A 19,175-nucleotide genomic window follows, 5' to 3' on the forward strand; every position below is an offset into this window, starting at 1 on the left:
ACTGCAAAAAAGTTACAGAAAACCTTCACTAATCAATGAGTAAGATGATAATAGATATACCGTAAAATCCATGGTCAACAGGGTCCTGGCTTTTTTTTCCTAGGGTGTAAATATGTGACAATAAACTAAGTAACAAGATGATATAAACTCTGTAATCTATATCTGGGTTATTCCAAAGCTTCTGGGAAGCCATCTGGAACCAGGGACAACAGTGGAAAATGATCAGTGGTCTGGGCCAAGTAGAGCATAGCTGAACAAGAGCCAAAGCTTTAATACTGACTGGTCTCTTCCTAATGAAGGATGCAAACTGCATACTTCCTTGGGCCTTTAAAAGATGCCTTTCATGCACAGAGGGAAAATGGGTGATTTTTACTGACATTATTATATGCAAGGGATTACTGTTATTGAAATTATATACCTTAAATACTCTTCCATCTCAACCTCATCCATCACACTACACTCTTTAGTTGTGACTATGTTCACTTTTTGACCGTCTCCTGAATTAATCATGTCCTATGTCTCATCTAATCTCCCTTCCTTTGCAAATGCTGTTTCATATGATCATCCATCTCTCATCACAACCCTCTTGGTTAAGTAGCCAAAATCTTCCACGACAACTCTTTAACATCCTTGGAGACTCACCCTAAGCATCCTCTATTAACGCTACTTACTCTCCTTCTCTACCCCTCCTACTTTCAGGATGAGTCAGATGTCCCTTCTCTCTTCTCCTCAAACACTTTCTATACCTTTTTATTACAATGCCTATCACATTCTGCTGTGACTACCAATATTTTAAAAATCAGTCTTTTACTAGATGAAGAATTTTTGGAGGAAAAGGTCACTGTCTTACTTATTCTGGTTGGATTCTGAGTACCTGATGTATAATGTATCCTCAATAAATGTTGAATGATTAAGTGGACAATGAAAACCATTTCATTTAGGTCTCTACACTCATTTTATAGTAACTGAACCATAGAGTGGGTAAAATGGATATATCATTTAGTTAACCATGGGTATATTCTGTTAAGTGAATGTGTACTCTATTGGAAATAAGAGTTGAACAGAATGTAGTAAGATAAAACTGCTACACAATGCTTTGTAGTACTTTGAGCATCTGTTTTATGTCAAATAGTGTATCTATTGCTTAACCCATAATTAATCTTCATGACACCAATGCATGTACAGATGATTCATTTCTCTTAGCCTTCATCTAATGCTAAAGACATTGTTATTATTATTCAAGTACAAAATTGAAGATATTTGTATTTGCTTAACCTGAAAATACCAAATCTCAAAGATCAGGATAAATGAGGGTCACGAGAGATTTATAAAAAATGAATTTTTAAAAAAGTGTATCACTTAGAATGTCCCATAATGGGCAAATTGATCTATTAGGTCAGGATTTTTTTTAATGTGTTTTGTGATCAAGAATAAATGTTGACAGAAAAAGAAGACAAGGAGTTGGGTTTCTAAGTAATTTCTTATTACAATCAAAGTAAAAATATTAAGTTGCACACAAACCTGATTACGTCATTTTCCTTAGCTCCCCATTAGCTAGCTCCTCATAAATAAAAGGTAAGGTCTAATCTTATTGTGGTTTACAATCCCCTTCACACTGGCCTAAGGTTATTTTTGTAACCCCTATATCCAGTCGTTTAGTCTAACCTATCCACTCCATATGCCCAATCCACCATACTTTGATATTTTGTTTTTTAAATATCTTCTTGTCTATGAACATACTATTCTTGCCACATGATATGTCTTCTTTCTCCCTGTTCTTTTGAAATCTCATGTGTTCTTCTAGGTCTAGGTCAAATGTTTTCTATAAACATTTTCCCTTCTCCACTTGTATCTACAAACGACAGAGTTAATTGCTCTTCCTTTATACTTCCAGTATACTTTATACACATTTCTATTTTACAACATGTACTCTCTTGTTAAATACTAAGGACCAAATATTGTTCATTTCTGTGATTCCAGTGCCTGGCATAGAGTTTGCTGTCGATACGTCTTTGTTGAACATAGAATAAATGATTAAATAATTAATTGGCATTTACAAAAACTGATCCAAAGTGTCAACAAGTATTGTTATTGATGTCAGTGATGATGATGATGATAATTTTATGGGAGCAACTTCAATTTACTGAATGATTAATACATGTCAGGCAGTATGGCAGATTCTTATGTACATTTTCTATACCTCACATTTTACAGATGAGGAGTTAAGGCACACAGAACTTAAATTACTTATCCAAGACCAAACAGAGAGTGAATCCCAAAGTTAGAATTCACACGTCTGCCTATCTGGGCTCCAAAACCCAGGCTTACTCTCATATGATGTGTATGCATTGGCCAATGGCTACTGTATTCCAGATACCACATTAGCCATTTTACAAATGGTGTTTTTTTATCCTTATAATTACCTTGTAGAAACAACAACCTTGAGAGGTAATTATCATCTCTGTTTTACAGATGAGCAAGCTGAGACCCTACCTCCAGCCCCCTCCAGTTCACCCCCTACGAAAAAATTCCAACTCAACTGTCTACAATCTCAAACAGGCTACAAACTATATAAAGTACAGTGCTAGTTGTAGACATGCAACAGAAATTTAAAATCCAAAGAAATGTTAGAATTTCAAACAAATTTTAACAAAGAATCCATTGAACCGTTGCAAAGATCCTTAATACAAAAACGAAAGTCACAAAGTGAATAACCATATTAGGACACTTCATATTCTCTCAATTCAATAGCTCCCTAAGTGGGCTCATCCCAACTTTCCAGTATCTCCCAAAGTGAATTTTTTGTTTCAGTTGGGACATTCTTTAGCGTACATCCTCTTGTTTCTATTCCTCCTTTTTGATGATGAGGTCCCCTCTGTCTCTTTCATCCAAACCTCCAAAATCAATCTAATATACTCCTTTTCTTTCATGTCTAAACTTCTCCCTTCTATACAATTTATGCCAATTATTAAACAATTAGACATTATTCCTATTCCTTTATATCACAATGCATTTTAGCATTACAACTTTGCATTTATAATAATATCTTAACAAATAAACATTACTCATATTACTTTATATCATTCTAAACTATGTGTATGTATCTCAACTTTGCTTCTATAACTATATCTTAAGTATGGATCATATATAGTAATGACACAGATGCTTTACACTTGCATAATGCAAAAAATATTTATTCAAGAATCACTCTCTGAAGTTTCCCTCAGCAATGCTTTGAAATAGGCAAAGCAAATATAATTTTTATTTTACAGATGAGGATTGAGATTCTGAGAGGTAAAGAAAACTGCCCAAATTTATAAAGGTAATGAAGGTAGAGTCACGTTGAAGGATAGGTCTTCTGATTTCCATACTCTTTCTATAATGGCTTGCTATCATACACATTTATGATACCTAGATCTCTTTTTGACCTTAGTCCCAAGTATGTAATGCTTAATTAAGGTGATAAACTGAGACATTAGTTACTGACTTAGGCTAGTAATCAAACCCCTCTCCCCAGCCAAGGGACTGGGTATTCACATCAACATTTATTTTTTCCCTTGGGATTTCATACAACTCCAAAAGACTTTCTTGACTCACTATCTGGAGAGTTTTATCTATGATGATGGTTATCTGTCAGTAACTGGGCTATATGACATCACATGGGAAACTGGATTTAAAGAAACCACATTGCTAATGAGATCATCAGATAAATAGTCATTGTAAGGGTGGGGCTTTTTATTTGATGGGACATTCTATTTCAAGCCATATTGAAAGCATATGTCGTTTGCCAGTGTTGAGGCACTTTAAAGTTGGGTCTATACTGCATTGTAATATACAACTGAAAGAAAAATTCGCTGATCCCCTGGGTAATAAGTACTACATGGTTTCCAGGTAGTTTAGTAAACTTTCCAAGCCTCAACTCCATATTGGACTCATAGGGATAAAGTGGGTTACAGTTATGACTATGCACCAAAGCTTAATGCTACCAGTCTCATTTGTATGAGAAGGAAAATTAAGAGACTTTTCAAAATTATTTAGCCAAGGCTTCCTGGAAAATAGGGTTTGTGCTCAATGTTATAGATGTGCTTGCTGATGATGGTTTTCTTTTTGCTTTTAAACAAGTTGATATGGAAAAAGGTAAAAGCTCTACTCCACCATGAACCAAGCCTATACAATGTCAGATTTGTAGGAAATAATGACATTATTGCATGCTTACTATGTGGTAGAAACTGTGCTGTGTGAAAATCATTGGACATAATATCTCATTTAGTTGATAGAACAAACATGTGACACGTGTACTGTTATCTCTTTTCTACACATAAGGAAACTGAAGTTATGCCATTTTAATGTTAAGATTAGGAAAACAGTGTAGGAAATATTCCTTGCTTGTAGAGATTGCTGATCCTAAGATGCTAGAGGCATTTGGGTAATAGCCTCATCTGTTTGATTGACAGGGTAATGTACAACTCAAATGCTACCTTAATTCTAGCTCTAAATTGTAATCATCTAAAACTTTTACTTCCAAATTCTCTAAGACTTCAATTCATTTAACCTAATTTATTCTTTCAGAGACATCAAAATAAAAAATATTAAATAAAAATATTTGAAAGGAATCTTGAACCAAAACATAAATGATATACTGAATTTTGACTCAGGTAGACCTGGATGTGAAACCTCTAGTCTGAAGCTCTGTGGGCTTTGGTTGCTATATCTATAAGATTATCCCACAAATTCTAAGAATAGATGAATTAAATATGTGCAATATATGTACAATGTGTGAAAATACCACATAATTCAAATGGTTATTGATGTTATTATTATGAATAAACTGACAAAGAAGTAAAGTTACATAAGGAGGAAGTAGGATGCATTGTAAAAATTAAATCAGGCAGCTCTCGTTTGACCAAGAAATTTCTCTCCTCGTGCTGCTAAGCATACATTCTTGCTGATCTGAGCTGCTTTGGTAGGAAGGGAATGGTGCTCTTGCAGTACACGGAAAAATCATTCTGGTTCTCTCTCTCTCCCTCTCTCTTTCTGTCTCTGATCTCTTCACAGACCCTGGATGCCTTACATTTTCAGAAAAGTGAGATCTGAGTTTAACGGAAAGCCAGAGGAACTCCCAAATCATGCCCTTTAGCCTAGCTATGTTGCATTAAGTAGCCAAAGCTGATGTGATCTCACAAATAAAAGACATACATGCTACTGACCCAGCATCTAGCTAAGCCTGGCCAAACAGTCTCATTTTCCAACAGTTTCATCAAAACCAAATTATTAGTGCAGAACCACCAAATATGCCAAGCCCAGGTGTCTGTACTTTAAGCAATATATCCAAATAGGCCCAAGGAGAAATTTGGGGGTGGGTTAGAGGAAGTGTTGGAACCTTTGGTTAACAAAACACTAAGCTACAAAGCGCCAATGTTTTCCTGAAAGCAAATGCCACCAAATGAAATTCAGTCAATATATCTTCCACATGACAAAGCTACTACCAACATTTTCCTTCTGTAAAGTGTTTAGACTACAGACTTTTACTAGCCTTTTCCAGCCTGGTGTTTCTCAATAATGAAGCCAACTCTATCAATGCTTCAAGTATCAATGTCTGGTAACTCTGTAAGGATTAGCACCCACTTAGTGGTCAGGAAAATTCATTCCAAGATGCTAAAGAGGTGCTTTGTTTTTAATATTTTTAATTTAAGATTTAGTAGATTCTATGATCACAGGGTTATGTTCCTTTCAATAGAGCTCAGTCATGAGTAAATTAAAACTGCAAATCATGGAGACAGAAATGAAAGATCCACTAAACTCTCTCAAAGCCACAAATATTCAACCTTAGTGCATTGCATTTCCTATACATCCTAAGGCTGCCAGATGGAAAAAGAATGGAGTCTGAGTCTCCCAAACTGTAGCAATTGTGAGTCATAATCATATTACTAATAATAATTCTCACATACATGGGCATTACTGAATGAGTGGCTCTGCTTACAGGAGGATGAGGCCACCCTGACCATGGAGAAGAAATGGCCTTTTAAAGTTTATGGATGTGTAAAATAAAGAGTATATGATGTTGCATCCCTGCCTAAATGTCTTCATAAAGTGCAAATTAATGCAGATCCTAACTAGGCATTTGGAACGCTAACCTAGTTTTCTGTGTTTAGCTAATAGCTAGCAATTTTGCTTACACTTTTATCCTCTCATTACATAGCAATAATGATTATTTAGTAAATACATATGAAAGGCCATGTACTCCATAGCACTCCTCCTGAGTTGGAAATCCCCCTCCTAATGCTTCCATTTGAATAATTTAGTTGCTGATACACCAAATCAAATATAGCTGTGACAGGTATCCCACTAATGCTTTTTTTGGAGGCTAAGATCAGACCCTTTCTCAGCCTGTTCCCCTCGGTGATTGCCTGGCGAAATTCAGGGTAAGGGCTGGGGACAGAGAGGATGCTGGAGGAAATCCAGAGCCTTAATCAATGTTAACCCTTTATAAATCTTAAAGGTACTCAGATGGCTTGTCTGATTTGAAAATTATTAATGACACTGGGGAGAAGTAAGGAAAGGCTATTTTATAACTAGTCAAATATTCTGGAACAAGAGAGAGAGTTTGAAATAGACATGTAGAAGAGAAAGATGTAAAATATGGCCTTGTGAGATGCCACCCACTTCATATCTGGACATATGACTGATATAAACCTTTACAAGTCACTTGAGAATTTTCACTCCTAGATGCAGAATGGAATAATAGAAGTCCCACTAGAGGAGTTGGGGTGACCCCAGGGCACATTTTCTTGTCTGCCAGGTACACAACACATCTCACTGATGTATCACAGAGACAAATTTCTTAATAGGGTAGCCAAGCCCCACACAGAATGATTTCGGATAAGAGTCCCATTCCTTCCCTATGAGGAGAAAATTGGAAGCCAGACTGGGATTTGGAACAGAGTCCAGGGTGAGGGCAGAACTAGGGTTGTTTTCTCCTATCCAGAATCAGGTCTGGCTTAAAGGGAGGGGATTGACAGGGCTGAAGGAAGAGGCAGGAAACATGTCTCTCCACCCCAGTGCTGCTTAAATGTGGCTGCTCAAAGGGGCAATATCCTGCTCTCCTCTTCTGATGACTTCATGGGAAGTTGGCCGAGTCCCCACTTCTGCAGAAGAATGCAGGCAGAAGGGAGCACTACAAATGGGCTTTTCCTTGGGTGCTTAAGTGGCAGGTGTGAAGGGAAATGGGGTGGGTGCCTTCAATGGGAGGAGCCACTGAACTGGGGAATACTGCTGGTCCAGGGGCTTTCCCCTTTCCCTCCCAGCTTCCTCCCAACCCCAATTCCCTGCATCAACAAAGACAGTGCTCAAAAACCAGAACTCGTCCTAACACACTCAGGCACAGGTGTCCACAAGCCCAACCTCTTTCACCTCAACACCCTGAAATCCCGTTTGCTCTTAAAAGCACAGACAGGCCCAAGTAGACTGAGAGGTCTGAGCCAGCACATCCTTGCTACTGGGAATTAAAAAACACCGTGATGTAAAGAAAGTGGTATTTGTGACACTGTAGTGCTTTAACAAGAAAATTGGGGGGGTAGAGGAGGGTGTGTCAGCAGGTTTCAAAGCATCACAATCAGTCCTGATGTGTTTGGGTAAGGCATGGAGGACATATCTCTGATCCCTGCTGGTACTCTCCAGTCCCGCATCCTCCCGCAGTCTCTTGAAAGTGGTTAGATACCCGGGCAGGGCCCCGCGTCCATTTTGCCAGCCAGGAACCACCGAGTCTGGGAACTTTGAAAGCCAGGGGATGGGGGTGGTTGTTGCCAAGGCTCGGATTTCGGCGCCAGAGTTCTCAGCCAGGAAAGCAGTTGAAAATCAACACCCATCTGCCTCTTCTTTCTCATCCCCCACCACTTTTTCCTTCACCCTTCTAGGACTGCACACAGATCCTAACCACCCCCCCCCGCAAAACACACACATTCACACACCCTTGGGCTGAGAAGATTTTTGATTCTGAAGGCGGCAAACCCGCAGAACTCAAAGGGTCTCGCCACCCCTCTCTCTGCCCCGCGGCTATATACAATAAAACCCCATACACCCCAGACATCACAACATAATCCAAATCAGCCAGTGACTTCGGCGCGTCCCGTACCTGATATGCAGACGATGAAATTGGCTTGAAGAAGAAAAAGCACCTCCCAGACTATTTCCATCCTCTGATTCTCATTCCAAGTGCATCACTCGACGGGAAAACGGGGGGAAGGGGGGAGCCCGACACGGCACACACACATACACACTCGCACACACTTCCGAGCGAGTGCACACTCGCACTCCCACCCGACAGCCGGCCAGGGACAGTCACCCCCAAGATCAATATCGCAGTTTGAATTGTTCCGGCAAATCTCCCCTCGGGCTCGACGGATGTGCGCCCCAGATGTGCTGACACATGTCCGATGCCTCGCTGCCTTGGAGGTCTCCCCGCTCGCGTGTCTCTTCTCTTCGCACCAGCGGCGGAAACCGCACTAGCAGCGGCGGCGGCGGCGGCGGCGGCAGCAGCCACCTGAAGCCACCAACACTGGGCTCTTCCAGCAAAAACGAGACCCCGATTCGTCTGGCGCCCCAAGAAGACATAGACGATAGCCCCCCGCCGGGCTGCGCCGTGCAATTCCGGGCTCCCGGGAGCGCGTAGCTCGCTGGCTAAGCCCAGGCAGTCCGCGGCAAGTTGCCCTCGAAGTCCGCCCCCCTCACCGGGGCATGGTCGGAGGGTGGCTGCTGCGCTCCGGGGCAGTTCTTCTCCTGCTTCCGGGGGGCGGGGAAGGAGCAGACACAGCAGACACACAGAGAAAGAGAGGCAGGGATTATTGCCCGAAACCGCCAGCCGCCGGCAGCCTCCGCCGACCCTCCCTGCTCCCCAGGTCCGCGCGCAGCCTGCAGCCTCTCAGCCGGGTTCCGGCAGTGCGTCCAGGGCGCCGAGGGGAAGGGCTGGGCCCCGGGGACTGGGGCGCGGTGGGGGCACACAGACTCTCCAGGTCGCGCGCGCCCTTCCTGCTCCTCTGCTATTTTCCTGAACTCCCCAGAACCCCCAGTTGCCTGGCTTCCATCGCCCGCAACTAGCGCCGCTGTCGAGATTTTCCGCAATACAACTGCAGGGGTCGTTATTTCCTCGCCTACGGATCCCTACGCTTCCCAACTCAGAGAGGAGGAGGACAGGTGGGGGCGGGAGGGGGAGGAGGAGAAGGAGGCTTGGCCAGGTGAGCGTCCTCGCCGCCGCCGGGCGTCCCAGCGTCAGCTCCGCAGCCCGGCACCCGGGGGCGGAGGCAGGAGGCCCGGGCGGGGAGGTGAGGCTGAGCGCGGCCATGAGGAGGAGGAGGAGGAGGCTGGGTGTCACAGCTTCAGGCCACCTTGGCCGCCGCCTCGGCCCCAGTCCCTGGCAGCCGCCTCCGCACTCCGCCCCGCCCTGGCTGCCTCTGTTACCCTCCAGGATTTTCGAGTTTCTCTTCTTAAAAAGAACTTCGTGCTGCGGGTTCGGCGCGGGAGACCCAGGCAGGACTCATCCTGGGAGTGCTGTGCTGTGCTCTCCCTCCGCTGCGAAATATTGGAGATTTTTTTGCATAATTCATTCCCTGCCCTCTCCATTTCGTCCCTCTCATGCCCCCCACCCTTTACCCCTTTCCGTGCCAGTGCCAGAACACTACTTACCCCAGAGTTCTTTTCTCTGCAGGTTCCTAGACCAGGTGCAACTCTTGCCTGCAAGTCCCTGCCTCCCTCCTCCCGAAAAGGGGGAACACCGCCTTTCCAAGTCCGGGTGCCAGCAGCGGCTGCTGCCAACTGCGCCTTCGCCCAACTCCAGGAGGATCCGGGACTATTGGAAACCCGGGCTTTAGAGGAACGGGCTTCCCTTCTTGTCTTTCTTTTATTCTGCTTTTCTTTAGGGAAGCTCTAGTGCTTTGGAGGCTTTTGCTGGGCTCCAGGATACTTTCCGCCAACGACACTCAGCAGCTTCCACTGAAGGAGATTTCCCCACCAAACCCGCGCGCGCACACACACACACACCCAGCGCGCGGCTCTCCAGGGCCCCAGGGGAAAGTAGGGGCGGCGCGAGCACCACCCACCCACCCAGGCCGAGGCCAGGGGCAGCCAGTCCGCAGAAGGTCTCGTGGGGAGGCGGGCTGTCTATAACCTAGGAAAGACTTGCACCCGGTTGCAGTGTGGATGCAGGGGAATTGAAGAAAACCCTGTGCTCAGAACTGCTTGCCTAAGAGGGCTGGGAACGAAAGGGGAAAGACAAAATCTCAACAGATTTGTCTGCTTCCATCGCTGCAGTGGTGGTTTGCGAAAGCTCAAACCTACCTCTTTGGGGTTATTGAAGAAGAGGAGGGAGCGTAGAGGGAATCCCTGGGAAGATCCAGGATTTCTCGGCGCGCTTGTCCCGATTGGGAACTGTGACGTTAGGAGATTTTGCACAAGCGCGGATGAACACACACATAACAAACACAAACACACACATACCCCGCGGGGATTTTTTATCCACTTTTAATATTTGATGTTTAGAAGCTATTTCAGTATAAACCTCGGTCTAAGAACTGCACAAAGGGTAGATAAGTGGAGATGGAGGAGGGGAAGGAAAGGGTGCCCGTTCATCCGCACAGAGTCAATCTAGTGAATCTTCCCGTGTTGATCCCAGCACCCAGGCTGTGCGACATCTGAGGGTGCGGAGTGGGAGCTAAAGGAGTTACATTACAGTGCTCCCAGGGTTCTTGAAGGGACTCCAACTGCCCAGGAGTCTGGCGGGTCTTTTTGCTGAGTGGCGGGGAGAAGAGGGAGGAAAAAGAGAGAACGCAGAGCAGATCAGCAGCTCTCTGAGCTGTCTGGGCTGGGCGGCTGCGGGAGCCAGAGCTACGTAGTCCCACCGACTCTAGGGATTCGAAAAAGGAACCGCCGACAGACCTGCCTACTCTTAAAGAAGGAGATGTGGCCGTGAGATCTGTTCTGTGAAACAAAGGCCAAGGACTCTAGGTGGTCAACACATTAAAAATCTAGGCCCAGATGAAATAAATCCAGCATTCTTATGTAGAGAGCTTCCAGGCTCAGCAGGGAAAAGCATGAAACTTCAGAACATTAAAAGAATTCCGGATAGTGAGAATTAGCCCATTTGGGAAATATATGGGGGCATTTGTCTCCGTGCCTTGAAAGTAGACTGCATGAAGAATTATTATTATTTTTTCTTTCTTTCTTTCTTTCTTTCTTTCTTTCTTTCTTTCTTTCTTTCTTTCTCTCTTTTTTCTTTTTTCTTTTTCTTTTTTTGAGGAGAGAGGGAGAAAGAAAAAAAAAAAAGCAGTCTGACAAAGATGAGCAGATTCCAGCCTGGTGAGAGTTCAGAACCGTGGACAGCGACCTACCATCCCTGCTTGGGTGGGGAGATAGGCTGGCAGAAGAGGTCTCTCCTCTGGAAGCAGAAGCATGGTGCCTGAATTTTTATGTCACTACCCACTCATTTACTAATGAATTCTGCAATTATTAAGTGTCTTATATGTGTCAAACACTGTGGCAAGATGCTTGGGCTTTGTAATTGAAAATGCATTATCCTTGCTTTCAAAAAAATCTGCAGACCATATATCCCTCTATATTCTGCTTTAAGAGCCAATGCCAGTAAAATAATACTTTATTTCCACCCTTTCAGTCTGCATACTCACCTCCAGCATTCCCAAAGAATATTTAATCTGTGATCTGCCACTAAGTGCTTTCAGTTTTTAAAAAAGGCAACTCACATGACAGTATTTGTTAGTTTAAAAAAAGTTTGAGTGTATTGATTGTTGTGTGTGAAGTATTATGTGTATTGATTGTTATGTGTGAAGACTATGTGTGAAGATTCTGAATCCCTTACATAAATTATCTCATTTAATCATCATAATGTGATGGTGAGATAAATGTCATTATCACTTCCCTTTTACTGACAATAAAACAATACCAGGGTAGTTATTTGCCCAAGGCTCCACAGCTGCAAATCAGTAGTGTAGAGACCATAGCTGGAAAGTCTAAACTCAGAAGTCATGTCACACCACTTCCTTATATGCTCTGTAAAATGAAAAATATCATCTTGGGGAGGTTATTTTGCACTTAAAGAGAACAGAAGTACACATATGACAGCTGGAAGTTAATCAAAGGTGGTATTAAAATTTAATGGTAGACAATGCAATTTAGAACCCAACTACATTAGTTGGGATAAGGAAAAGATCACTGGGAATCAGAAGTAATCAAAAGCGTTTCTAATGATAGAATTTTGGCACCTGCTAGATGTCAGTTCTGGTTCTGGCACTTGGAATACAGCAGTGAACACAATAGTCCCCAACATATTGATTCCATACTAGCAATTGCTAGAAGAAAGAGCCATACATTTTTGAGTCATTTCTAGGCTACTACATTTCTAGAGTAGGTTGCTATATGTTTTTCTGAGAAATTCACCATCTTAATACAGAAAATAACTCAGTAAAAAAAAATGCATTAAATAGAAGCCTTTAAATTTAAGTAAATTCTGCCTCTCTTTTTTGTTGTTTTTTTAGCCCAAAAAACAAACCAAATAAATGTGGGAAAAAAATTCCATGAAGCTAGAAAATATTCTTAGACGTTTTCATATTTTAATGTGCTTATATGTATATCTAAATAACTACAAAGAATCTCTCCACATCATACCCGCCTTTATCTTTTGTTCCTTTCCTACTCCTCTACATTTCTGCACTACAAATCAAGTGTAAGTATCTTACACATTTAACAGAGAGTCTTGGCCAAGCCCACCCAAGTGTGAGAGATACCAATTGTCCTATAGAAAGCAAGGAATTATATTTCCATTTTCCAAGAGAGAATAATATTAAATTCCTTTGGGTTCTTCCTGTACCTTCTCTTTCACTCAACGCCATAGAAGAAGGGATGACTCAACTGATGATAAACTTTTAAGAGTTTGACTTTCATTAGGGTGCATTTATCAGAGGCCAAGCACACTGTATTAGAAGACAAAGGAAATCTATACCTCTTCCCACTTCTCTATTTTCTTGGTAATGCTACCTTCAGGCACAGTGAGCTCACAATTTTAGTGTGTGTACCTATGCATATTTATTTTGTATGCCACTCTCAAAGAGCAGAGCTAGTAAGGTCTCTGCTTTCTTGCAGTACTTAGCTTTCTGGGGCCAGTCACAATCATGCATGTGGCTGGGAAAGCATATTTAGAGCCTTCTTTGTAGACCCAACCATCCTTATAAGTGATGTTCTAGTTTTGAATTTGGGGTGAATAATTGGAAAATGCCACTTCAAAACACATCAAGCTCTATTTAAGGACTGTCCCATTCCCATTTAGAAAATGTTTCTATTTTTAATTGCTTAGATGCCAGAGGGAAAGAAAAGTTAGTGATGAAGCTACCCCTAACTTCTACCAAAAAGATAAAATTACCCAAATAAATGGAAAGATATACCATGTTCATGAATGAGAAAGCTCAATATTGTTAAAATACCAATTTTCCCCAAACTGATCTATAGAGTCAATATAATCCTAATAAAAATCCCAGCAAATTTTTAAATAGAAATTGTCAAGCTGTTTCTAAAATCCATATAAAAATACTAGGGAACTAAAATAGCCAAAACACTTTGGAAAAAGATAAACAAAGCTGGAATATTTAAATTATGTAACTTCAAGGCTTATAAAGCTATAGTAATCAAGACAATGTAGTACAAGACAATGTAGTAGAATATAGACAAATCAATAGAACAGAGAGAGTCTAAAAATAGTCTGACATATATTGATTGAGTTGATTTTCAACAAAGGTGCACACTCATTTCCTTGGAGGAAGAATAGTCTTTTTAACAAATCGCCTTTTCAATATTTCGATGTCTATTTTTGAGAAAAAATAAAGATGAACTACAATCCATACCTTACACTATATAAAAAAAAGATGAACTCAAAATGGATTATAAACCTAAATGTAAAACCCAAGCCTTTAAAACTACTCAAAATAAATAAAAGAAAATCTTTGTAAGTTTGGGTTAGACAAAGATTTTCTACAGATGACACTAATATCATTATTAATTAAAAAATAATTGAACTTTGTTGGAATTAAGAACTAATATTCTTCAAAAGATAATTTTAAATAATTTTTAAAAGTCATAATCTAAGAGAAAATATTGGGAAATTATATATGGCACAAATGACTTGTAAGCAAAATAGGTAATAATTCTCAAAACTCAATTTATTAAAACAAAAATTTTAAAATGGGCAAATGATTTGAATAGACACTTTACCATAAAGATATAGTAATGGCAATTAAGAATATAGAAAAATGCTCAACGTTATTAGTCATTAGGAAAATAAAAATTAAAACTCCAATGAGATACCAGTATACATATATTAGTTTGGCTAAAACTAAAAACAAAGCAAAACAAAATAAAAAACAATACCAAGAGTTGGTGAGAATGTGGGGCAGCTGGAACTCTCATGCATTGCTGGTCAGGTAAAATTATGCAACGACTTTAGAGAAATGTTTGGCAGTTTTAAAAAATTAAATATTAATATATATAAAGCATATGACGTCGCCATTTTGCTCATAGATATTTATCCTAGAGAAAGAAAAGCTAATGTTTATATGATACTTTTACTCAAATGTTCGTAGTCCTTTATTTGTAATAGACATAACTAAAAACAACCCATACGCCCATCAACGAATCAATAGACAATTGAATTTTGAAATAATTATGCAGCAATACAAAAGTAATGAACTATTGCAACATGGAACAACATGGATTAATCTCAAAATTATTACACTGAGTGAAAGAAGTCAGATAAAATAGAGTGCATATAGTATGATTCCATTTATACGAGATTTTAGAAAGTATAGGCTAATTTACACTGACAGAAAGCAGAATAGTGGTTGCCTGGGGAGGCAGGCCAGAAAATGGGGAGGAATGGGAGGGAGAGACTGGAACAGCGTAAGGAAACTTTTTGGGTTAATGGCTATATTAATTATCTTAATTATGTTGATGGTTTATGGGTGTACACATATGTCAGAAATTATCAAAATATACATTTTAAACACATGCAGTTTGTTTTAGGTCAGTTATACCTGATAATAATCCAGCCAAATGAATGAATTAGTTTTTTGAAAATATAAGGCAGAAACTGTAATTATAAATAGATATTTTTAAAAGTGTGGCTGGACTAGGCTTAGAGAAACTCAACATTACCGAACTGTTGTTTCTCTGCACAAGATGTTACTTACTACTAAATTACTTAAACTTTGAGAAATATTAAAAGGAGTTGTATGTCTCCGCAATTTGTAAGCTCTGGTGTAAAACAAATAGCTCTGATGTTGTAGCTATATCTTTATCTGCTTTACAGGTATTGGATTATTATATTATAAAGTAATTATCCTGTTGGTACCATAGGGTAAAATTCCATTATTAACTGGGCAGATTTCCTTTGGAGACAGTGGAAAATACCCAGGTTTGCCAGACTTGGAGAGAGGCAGATCTTGGGATAGAAATAAAGACTCGAAAGATGAGCCTTAGACTGTGGCTTAGCAACAAATGCTTTGTTCATTGAGCAAGGATGATAGGTTAAAGTGTCTATGTACACTCGCGGGCATGTATAATGGTGCTGGGAAAGCTGAATACTGTGATTGGGTTGTGGGCTGTGAGCTAGTCAGGGAAGAAGGCTTTATAAGACAGAAATGTACACTGAAGTGACCTAATAAAATTGGCAATGTAACTCTGATCTGAGAGTAATCACATCTGGTAACCAGTGACAAGTTAGCCTCAATGTTATTCCTTTCTACCAGCTCTTCAGATAACTATTTATAAACATTGTAACTTATTTTGGAAAAATTCCCTGCAAACGCATGGACTAAAATGATGAGGGGAATTGCCAGAGTTCTGAAACCAATGTGGAGATGGTAGGAGAAGCGGAAACAAACCTTGGTGGTACCTCAAATCATGGAGTAGAATGGACAGCGACACAAAGGGCAGACCTGTGGCAGAACAGAGGTGGGGGATGGTGAAGACACTGGTGATAACAGGGATTATGAACAGATGAATCAACCCCGAAGGGACTCCCCAAGAGTTAGTAGGGATTCCAAACTACCTATCTGACAAGGAATTAATAACCAAAATATATAAGGAGTTCAAACAACTCAATGGAAAAAAATTTAATAATCTGATTTCAAAATGGGCATAAGATCTGAATAGATATTTCTTTAAAGAAGACATACCAGTGGCAAATGGCTATATGAGAAGATGTTCAATATCATTGTTCATCAGAGAAATGCAAATCAAAATTACAATGAGATGTCATCTCATCCCAGTTAAATGGCTTTTATCCAAAAGACAGGCAATAATGAATACTGGTGGGGATATGGAGAAAAGAGAACTTCATATCCTGTTGTTTGGAATGTAAATTGGTATAATAACTATGGAGAACAGTTTGGCGATTCCTCAAAAAATTACCATATTTTTTTTTTAGTTATGCAAGTGATTGCCATTGAAAGTAATGGCAAAACTGCAATTACTTTTGCACTGACCTAACTAGAATCCAGCAATCCCACCCTTAAGGTAATACACCCAAAAGAAAGAAAATCAGTATATAGAAGAGATATCTGCACTCCCATGTTTATAGCAACACTATTTACCATACTGAAGATTTGGAAGCAACCTAAAGGTTCATTAACATAAGAATGGATAAAGAAAGTGTGGTACATATATACAGTAAGTACTATTCAACCATAAAACATATGATAGCTTGTCATTTGACATAACATGGATAAAATCATAGGGTTTTTTTAAATGAAATAAGCCAGCACAGAAAGACAAATGTTAAATGTTCTCACTAATTTGTGGGAGCTAAAAAAGAAAACAATTGAACTTATGAAGATAGAGAGTAGAATGATAGTTGCTAGAGGCTGGGAAGGGCAGTGGGGATGGTTAATGGGCACAAAAATATAATTAGATAGAATAAATAAGATCTAATATTTGATAGCATAGCAGAGTGATTACAGTCAATAATAATTTATTGTACATTTAAAAATAACTTAAAAAGTATAATTGGAGTGTTTGTAAATGATAAATGCTTGAGGTAATGGGTACCCTATGCCCCATTTACTCTGATGTGAGTTTTACACATTGCATGCCTTTGTCAAAATACCTCATGTACTCTTTAAATATATAGACCCATTACATATCCATAAACACTAAAAATAAAAAAATTAAAAGATATTCAGTGTAGACGAAGGTCAGGTGGAAATAAAAACACTGAAGAAAGTGTATGACCATTATATTTTTAAAAAAATTAATAGGGAAATAAGAACTTCAAAAGGAGGACTAGTAATCTGCTATCCAGTGTGAAGATTGGGGCTGTCAAGCTGTGTATTAGCTTCTTATATCTGCTGCAATAAATTATTACATACTTAGTAAAATAACAAAAATGCATTTATTTATTTATTATATATTTATTTGTACTTAAATTTACTGGTTTATCATAAAACATACCAATGAAGCGGTAGATAGGACAAGGTCCAGAAGGGCCCTGAGCCCAGGAGCTTCTCCCATGGAGTTAGGATGTGCCACACTCTCAGCACATGGATGCATTCGCCAACCATAAGGCTCTAAAACAAAAAAATGTATCTTTGACTTCTGAAGGTCAGAAATCTGAAACAAATCGGCAGGGCAGATTCTTTGTGGTGGCTTTCAGGGAGAACATTTTTCCTGCCTTTGCTGTCTTCTAGATACTGTTTATGTTCCTTGGCTCATGGCTGTCTTCCAGAAATGATTTTACTCTACTTTCTGCTTTCATCCTCACCTCTTCTCCTCTGAGTTTCTCTTTTCCTTATAAGGATTCTTATGACTACATTGAACCCAACTGGATATTTCAAAATAGTCTCCATCACAAGAACCTTAATTTAATAACATCTGTCAAATCTTTTTTGCCATGTAAAGTAACACATTCTCATGCTCCAGGGATTAGGATGTTAACATCTTTAGGAGGTCATTATTCTACCTATCACAAGCAGATTGATTTGGGTCACATGAAGAGTGCCAAGTGTAGATCAATGGAGCTTCTCATAAAGTAATTGAAAAAAAAAGCTGCCACTTTTTAATCTATACAGTAATGTACCTTACATTTTTCAATAGTGAGTTCATGTGAGTTATTTGAGGAATTGGTATGAGACCTTGTTCTCTATAAATGAGTCTATCAAGAGGAAATGTTAAGGTATTTGAGTGGATACAGTTCATTTCTCTGGACAAAGAATGTGAGGATGCTGAAATGACACATACCACTAGGAGAATAGATTATTTACCTCTCTTTGATATCGGAATAGATAATAGTTTAATTACCACCAGTGCTCATTATATTTTCAAAATAGGCTTTCTTCTCACCCATACTATAATTTGTGTCCAACGTCAAAGAATTAAAATGCTATACCTTATTTACTATTTATATTTTGGCAGATGGATAAAGAATTTGATGAAATAGTTCACATTAAGATTGTGGCACTTGGGCTAAGGCTTTGGGCATCATTTTGAAAGTTAGTGAAACTCATGTTACACTTTTCTCCTTTTTATTGAATTTCTCTCATATATCCAGTCTCCTTAACTCAAGATCTTAAAAATGGAAGACTTATTTGCAATGAGTACATAGCAGGCATTCTGTAAAAGATTGCTGAAAAATTGAATAGGTTTGTTTATTTGTTTATTCAAATAAATCCACTTTTCTTCCATTTTTTGTAATGAATTTGATGATAAATGTTTCCTAATACATTGTAAGTGCACATTAATATACTTTCAGTCCTAATGTAGTCCAACCCCCTTATTTTTTATGTGGGAAGATGGAGGCTTAAGATTAGGTCAAGTGATGTGTCCGAGTTCAACAAAGGCAAAAGCAGGGGCAGGGCCAGAATTTCAGCCTTCCTAGTTAATTATTAGTTTTTATAAACCTTCCATTCCCATCATTATTTCTTTTGTGACCAAGTAACACAGTGCAACAGCTGAAACATAGATGGCAAATGTATTAGCCAAAACCAGGCATTTTAGTGGGAGACATTTTTCTTAGATTGTCTCTTTCTGTCCAATGCACTTTCAACTCTACCTGACCATTTGTGTGTGTGTATGTGTGCGGGTGTGATGGGGTGGTGTGTGTTTATTTTACATTAAGCAATTTCCAGTGA

The 19,175-nt window shown here is 39.7% G+C and overlaps 1 protein-coding gene across 3 annotated transcripts in view, besides 1 other annotated feature; it reads right to left on the minus strand.

The window, feature by feature from the left end:
* CA10 (carbonic anhydrase 10) overlaps window positions 1-10,429 on the minus strand; it is a 529,711-nt gene extending 519,282 nt beyond the window's left edge. The window contains exons 1-2 of one of the 3 annotated variants that reach the window (NM_001082533.1): window positions 9,679-10,207; window positions 8,132-8,775 (exon numbers count right to left, since the gene is read on the minus strand). In NM_001082533.1, coding sequence (NP_001076002.1) covers window positions 8,132-8,192 — 61 coding nt within the window. In that variant the 5' untranslated portion in view covers window positions 8,193-8,775; window positions 9,679-10,207. Of the gene's footprint in view, window positions 1-8,131; window positions 9,121-9,678; window positions 10,208-10,329 lie in introns of those variants that run through there. The other 2 variants (NM_001082534.2, NM_020178.5) reach the window with 2 other exon arrangements.
* Window positions 9,675-9,969: a silencer, noted in NCBI's record as "tiled region #175; K562 Repressive non-DNase unmatched - State 23:Low". NCBI's record gives its function as "represses a minimal TATA promoter and a strong SV40 promoter by Sharpr-MPRA in K562 cells {active_cell/tissue: K562}" and the evidence as "EXISTENCE:reporter gene assay evidence [ECO:0000049][PMID:27701403]".
* Window positions 10,430-19,175: the final 8,746 nt, after the last annotated feature.

This window comes from Homo sapiens, chromosome 17, assembly GCF_000001405.40.
Source record: "Homo sapiens chromosome 17, GRCh38.p14 Primary Assembly".
In the NCBI taxonomy this organism is placed as follows: domain Eukaryota; kingdom Metazoa; phylum Chordata; class Mammalia; order Primates; family Hominidae; genus Homo; species Homo sapiens.